The sequence below is a fragment of the Homo sapiens genome, chromosome 6 (genome assembly GCF_000001405.40).
Source record: "Homo sapiens chromosome 6, GRCh38.p14 Primary Assembly".
Taxonomy (NCBI): domain Eukaryota; kingdom Metazoa; phylum Chordata; class Mammalia; order Primates; family Hominidae; genus Homo; species Homo sapiens.
This window is the reverse complement of record NC_000006.12, coordinates 1556524-1563575: the sequence shown is the minus strand read 5'-3', so window position 1 is coordinate 1563575 and position 7052 is coordinate 1556524. Positions and strand designations below refer to the sequence as shown.

Sequence of the window (7052 nt, the reverse complement as noted above, 5' to 3'; positions counted from 1 at the left end):
CCAGTGCCTTTAGAAACATGATCATTCCAATTTAGCTTTTCAAATTGCAGCAGAAATGCTGCCTTTCCTGATCTCCTATATTGTACTCAAATTTTTTGATTTTTAATTACAACTCTCTTGGGTTTCGTGTGTTGTTTGAACATGAGAAACCACTTGATGAAGATGACTGTACATTACACAGAGAACTGGAGTTTCATTGAGTACATTTCATGTAGGCATGAGCAAGAAGAGTACGGATATCAGGAAGCTAAAGGGGTGGACTATAGTTGACACAGTTGATTGTCTTCTCAGGATTTATCCCTTGCTTCTTTCCTCTTAAGAGGAAAGTTCAGGCATCTACCTTCCCATGTGGTATTCGCTTTCATATGACTTATGGGAAAGCTAATTCTCTACTTAGCTTTATGGAGTGGATCTAATTGGTATAAGTATAATCTCATCTCTATTGCTAATGATTTAGTTAAGGAAAGCATAGGTATTCCCATGGTTTGGGATGGATGGATTTTTGACACTACCTTTGCATGTGGGAGATTCTCACCTGGGAAAGGTGGAAAACAACAAAGTTATGAGGTTTTATAATTTAGTTTCTAAAGCAGCATCAGAAGCTGAATAATGTTTAGCTTAAGCAGCTCAGTGATCTCAATGTTGTTCCAACATGTGGCATCATATGCCCCAAGTAGCCTCTTAAGGCAAAGTGTATCTGTTTATGTGTGATCCAGTCCCTGATCATTCGCATGAAAGCGAATAAGGCCTCATTGTAATGCAAGGTATTAGATCCCTTTGCAACTCATAGTGCCATAAATCAGAGCCCTGTGGTTGACTTGGCCCTTCAGTTTCATCTGCAATAACAATTGAAGCTCTGTCTTCAGAACTGAACTGGATACATAGCTAAAGTCAACCCAGGGAGTGACTGCTTTTCTCTGGCATTATATCTTCATTTCCCCCATAATTCATTTGAACAGGAATTTCTGTGGCTTAAGCCAAGAAATAGCAGCCCATTCACATTTGTAAATGCTCCTGCATAGCTATAATTATATCTTTAATAATTGGGCCCTAGCAATGTTTTAGTTTTATGCCCATCAGTATTTCATGCTTAAATGAATGAAAAGTTTCATATTTTCATTTCTTCCTTCAACAAACATTGACTGGTCATTTGCTATTTCAGGCACTGTGTTGGGAGTAAGCAATGTGGAGTCATCTCTTCCCCCAGAGAAACGCTGACAAGTATTAGCTCACAGACATGTGTGCACAAAGATGGATGCTCACAGTTGTCCGTTGGAGCACTGTTTGAAGCAGCAAAAGGAACCAATTCAACTTTCCCTGAGTAGGAAAATGGCTAAATAAATGGTAACTTATTCACAGAAGGGAATATAATACAGCTGTTAAAATCATGAAAAAAGGTACATATTATACCATGAATAAATCTCAAAAACATCAGTTCTAAAAAAAAGAAAGTAGCTAAAGTATCCACCCAGCCTGATACCATTTACATAGACCTTAAAGATCCAATACATGCAATAGTATATCTTGATCAGGAATTTGTATGTGTGAAATAAAATTACAAAAACATGCTGTAAGATGGGCATTTCCTCTGAAAAGGAAAGCATGAGGGAAGTATGGGGGTGAGGCTTTATCTGGTCGGTAACATTACTTTTTTTAAAGAAGAAAGATGAAGCCAAATAGACAAACTATCAATTTTTGCTTAATTTTGGTGGTGGGTACTTAAGTGTCAGTTATATATTTTTTTCTGCATGAAATATTTTAACATGAAAACAACATTTAAATAAAAAACACAGAGGCATTATCTGTGAGTATAATAGCTCACATTTTAGTGAGGAAGAGAAACAAGCAAACTAAGAGTGGTTTGATAAATGCTGATAACACAAAAGACAGGGCAGCTGCTGGCAGCTCCGCCTGGGGGCTTGGGAGGACCTGTTGGAAGAGGTAATGGTTGACTGAAATGTTGAAAAGCCGCATGGAGTTAGGAGGACAGGTTGGAGAGGAACATCCCAGGAAGAGAACAGAGCCATTGTTGATATCTCCATAATGGTAGAATAATAACACACATTACTAAAAATTTATCTTGCTAACCAAGGCCAAGACTCCCCTGGGTTGGAGATAAGATAAGCTCCCCTTTCAGCAGCATCAGAGGCTGCTCAGGGCCTGTGACATACCCTTGGAGAAGAATCCTCCATATGCAAAGTGGTCTAATGGTTAACTTCTAAAAGAAAATAGCTGAATCTGATGGCACTATGGGCCAACTACCACTTCTAAGAACTTTACCTGTTTTGACTCACTTAAACAGCCCCCTGAGGAAGGTACTATTATAGTCATCCAATTTACAGATGGGGAAACTGAGGCACAGAGAAGTGAAATAATTTGCTCCCAGATACTCAGCTATAAGGGGCAGAGCCAAGATTTAAACCCAGACAGTCTGGCTTTACAGTCTCATGCAAGGTCCCCAGAAGGTCTCTCTCCTGGGTCCTGAGATATTACATTGCCTGGGCTCTCAATACAGCATTGAGCTTAGCTGCCTTGGTTCCAGGCCCTCGCCTTCTGGATTCAACCCAGCTACAAAAACCCTCAGCCCTGACTGTTCATTCAATGCCTGGCTCCCAATTTCCAGCAAGCCCTTTCTGCCTTGACTCCATCTGCCCCGGCTCTTGAGCTGCTCATGCCTGAACCCCATCCCATGCCTGCCCCACGCCCTCTCCTGCCTCCTGTCTTACAGCTTGCCATCCTGCCCACCTGAGGCTCTGCCTACTGACATGCTATTCCCAGGACAAGACCAGCTTCCAGGACAAGCACTGCACTCAGAAGCCATGTCATTCAAATCAGGGGCAGGCTTGTTAGGGTCAAAAATGGTCCAAATTCTGGGGATGTCATTTGAAAAAAGACTGTTTTCAGGAAACAATCTTCCTATCTGTGGTGATTTTAAAAATATAGTTCTCAAATTGTGTGTAGGAAAGGAAAGTAGCAATATGGGTGCAGGAAGAGCATGACTGTGTGGATAAAAAGATGATGTATGCACATGAACATGCAGAACTGAGAACTCAGGTTAAGTTACAGCAAGATATGGCAGGTACTGTGGTTTGAATGTGTTCCCCAAAGTTCCTGTGTTGGAAACTAAATCTTCAATGCAACAGCAGGACCTTCAAGAGGTGATTGGGTCATGAGAGTTCTGCACTCGTGAATGGATTAATGTCAACATCATGTGAGTAATAGGTTTAATAATTGGGCCCTAGTGATGTTTTAGTTCTATGCCCATCACTATTTCATGCTTAAATGAATGAAAAGTTTCATATTTTCATTTCTTTCTCCCCTATCTTTCTCATGCACACATGCACTCTCTTTCCCTTCCATCTTTCACACCATGGGACAACACAGCAAGAAGCCCCTTGCCAGAAGCAAGCCTCATGACTTAGGACTTTCCAGCCTCCAGAATTGTAAGAAATAGATTTCTGTACTTCATATAAAAAAGTATGATGTGATTGATGCTTTATATGTGCTTCTCTTGCCACTCTTTACAATAACTTCATAAGTCAGTCATTATTGTTCCTATTTAATAAATGATATAATTATGGTATAAATAGCTTGCCCAAGATCACATAGTTCACAGGCAGTGGGTCTTCCACAGAAATCTGTTAGGCTGTAAATTTTGTGCTCTTTCCGTTAGACCATGCAAGACTTTGTGTATCCTCCCTACTAAGAAATTGCACAGAAAAAAGACATCCTTATTCATAGTAGTTAGAAATGGCATAACTGAGACACCTTTTCAAGGGGAAGAGCAAATCATAAAGCTGAACAACCTCAGAAGAGGTTACAGTGAATCTTATGAAGGACCTAGATACAATTATCAGCTTACACAAAGTACAGGGGACTTTTCAATGAAATCACCAGCATGCAATCAGGAAATTCAGATCATAGAAAACACTGTAGGACAAATGACCTGATTTCTTCAACAAATGCATTACAAGGAAAAAGAAAGAGAGAGAAACTATAGATTTAAAATGTGCTAAGAAACATGTAAGCCAACTATTATGCATGGGCTTTTGGCCTGATTTGAACAGAACATAAAAAGAAATGATGAAATGATTGATTTAAACACTGACAGGAAATTTGATGATGTTAATAAATTGCTGTTACTTTGTTTTAGGTGTGATAATTATAATATAGTTGTGCTTTTTTTTAAAGAGTCATTATATTTTAGAAATACCTACTGAAATATTTTGCATGAAATGATATATCTTGTTTTACTTCAAGGTAACTGAGGGAGGGAGGAATTAGATAAACGTATATATAAATAATACATGACAATGTATTGGTAACTGTTGAATTATGTGAAGGCTATGGGAGGAATTATTATAATATTCTCTCTACTTTTTATATATTTTTCAGCTGGGCATGGTGGCTCACACCTGTAATCCCAGCACTTCGGGAGGCCCAGGTGGGCGGATCACCTGAGGTCAGGAGTTTGAAACCAGCCTGAGCAACATGGTGAAACCCCATCTCTACTACAAATACAAAAATTAGCTGGGTGTGGTGGCTTGCATCTGTAATTCCAGCTACTAGGGAGGCAGAGGAAGAAGAACTCCTTGAACCTGGGAGGTGGAGGTTGTGGTGAGCCAAAATCACATCACTGCACTTCAGCCTGGGCAAAAAAGCAAGACTCTATCTCAAATATATATATATTTTTTTTTCAATAAAAAGCTAGAAAAATTGGAGAGGTATATCAGGCTGTTCTTGCATTGCTATGAATAAAGAAAAGATGTTTAATTGGCTCATGGTTCTGCAGGCTGCAGAGGAAGATACACAGGTATCTGCTTCTGGGGAGGCCTCAGGAAGCTTCCAGTCATGGTAGAAGGTAAAGAGGGAGCAGATGTCTCACACGGTGGGAGCAGGAGCAGGGGGCGGGGAGGTGCCACACGCACTTTTAAACGACCGGATCTTGAGAGAACTCACTCACCGTCACGAGAATAGCACCAAAGGAATGGTGCTAAACCACGCATGAGATATCCTCTCCCGTGACTCAGGCCCCACCTCCAACAATGAGGATCACATTTCAACATGAGATTTGGGCGGGGACACAGATCCAAACCACCCAAACAGAGGCAATAAAGACTACCTAGTCTAACTGTCTTGACGCTGCCTGAACCCCCTTGGTGGAATGACAATTACATAAAAGCCTGAACTCATTCATTCTCCCACTCTCTTAAACTTATTATTCTTTCAAAGTTTAGTTTATTTGTTTGTTTGTTTGTTTGAGTAAACTATCATGGTGGAGAAAAGAAAGCTTAATTTCCTTGGGAACACTGTCTTGGAATGGGAAATCTTTTTGTTATATGGCATTGTAAAGCTTAAATCTTTCACATGTAAAAATTATGTAGCCCTCGTTTTTCATTTTCAGGGGAAGCATAAAGACTTCATGATCCATTTAGACTTAATTTAACCTGACATAAATAAATGCTGAAATGTTTCATTATGAGTTAAGTTGAAATATAGTCTAAATTTATTTTTTATATTCATTAATTTTAATTTTAATTTTTTTTGTTGTTGTTTTTGAGACAGAGTCTTGCTCTGTCGCCCAGGCTGGAGTGCAGTGGTGTGATCTTGGCTCATTGCAACCTCTGCCTCCTGGGTTCAAGCAATTCTCCTGCCTCAGCCTCCTGAGTAGTTGGGATTACGGGCGTGCACCATCACACCTGGCTAATTTTTGTATTTTTAGTAGATACAGGGTTTCCCATGTTGGCCAAGCTGGTCTCGAACTCCTGACCTCAAGTGCTCCGCCCACCTCTGCCTCCCAAAGTGCTGGGATTACAGGTGAGCCACCGCACCTGGCCTATAGTCTCAATTGATAAGTTAATTGTAAAACTCTGGGAATAACTCACTGTAGAAAGGTCTTCAGTATGAACTAAATTTTAAAAACTCTTTTATCTGAGCACATTGGTGTTATTTGGCTTTGCAACCATCATTCTTATTTCTCATTTACTGACTGTCGATTACATACAGGTCTAAGGGAAGAATAATGTGCCTGATTAATTAATTAAAGGCAGTTATTAAAAGAAAACAATATAATGCCAAGCATAATGGTGCCGGGTTGGACCCCTGGGCTCCTTTACCTCGGGCCCAGTAACTATCATCTATAAGCCTCAGTGTACTCAGGTGGAAAATGGAGGCAATTTCAGTCCCTACCTTCCACAAAGCTGTGAGAGATTCCATGTAATAATACATTCCTGGCACATAGAATATGCTCTACATGTACTAGCTCTTATTCATTCCTGGGATCCCTGTGTGTATTATAACGATAATATGGGCTGGGTATGGTGGCTCATGCCTGTAATTCCAGGACTTTGGGAGGCCAAGGCAAGAGGATAGCTTGAGATCAGGAGGTTGAGGCTGCAGTGAGCTAGGATTGATGCCACTGCACTCCGGCCTGGGCAACAGAGTGAGACCCTGCCACAAACAAACAAACAAACAAACAAACAAACAATCAAACAAAAAAAAGATAATACAGGCACCATGCAGCAGCTATAGAGAATGTGGAAGACACGGCCCAGGCTTCTGGTTATCATCTGAGTTGAAGAGCAAGAGCTCACTCTGCACGGCACTTGCTATGTCTGAGGTCATGTGTGACGAGGTGAGAAACTGCGTCCTGAGCGGCCTCCAGCACCAATCAGCCACACCAAGCCTGCAAGTCCCTGAAAGGAGACTTTTGTTTAAAATGAAATTCCACATGTTTCAGGGCAGGAAATTGAAATAGTGTCTCTGAAAATGATGAAAAGAAGGGATTTTAAACATGCACATATGTACATACTTTAGGTAGCAGTAAAGATACTTTTAGTCACAGAAGCTTACCAAATTTTAAGGACTGCAACATTTTTTAAAGGAGGATACCAAAAATGTGTCTGGACCTCTCCCTTTAAGTAAACGTAATTGGGAGCACCTCTTCTGGCTGAATGTGACCTTCGCATACAATTTTGTTTGCCTTTCCAACGGTTCTCAGCGTTTGTCTTTCTTAACTGCAGGAGGAGTAGGAAGCTATTGTCATTCTAGAT

At 40.5% G+C, this 7052-nt stretch overlaps 1 long non-coding RNA gene across 1 annotated transcript; it reads left to right on the top strand.

Moving 5' to 3' along the window:
• The first annotated feature begins 617 nt into the window (after nt 1-617).
• Nucleotides 618-4718, top strand: LOC107986555 (uncharacterized). The gene is made up of 2 exons (XR_007059403.1): nt 618-3443; nt 4396-4718. It is a non-coding gene; the product is annotated as an uncharacterized LOC107986555 (long non-coding RNA).
• The last annotated feature ends 2334 nt before the right edge of the window (nt 4719-7052 follow it).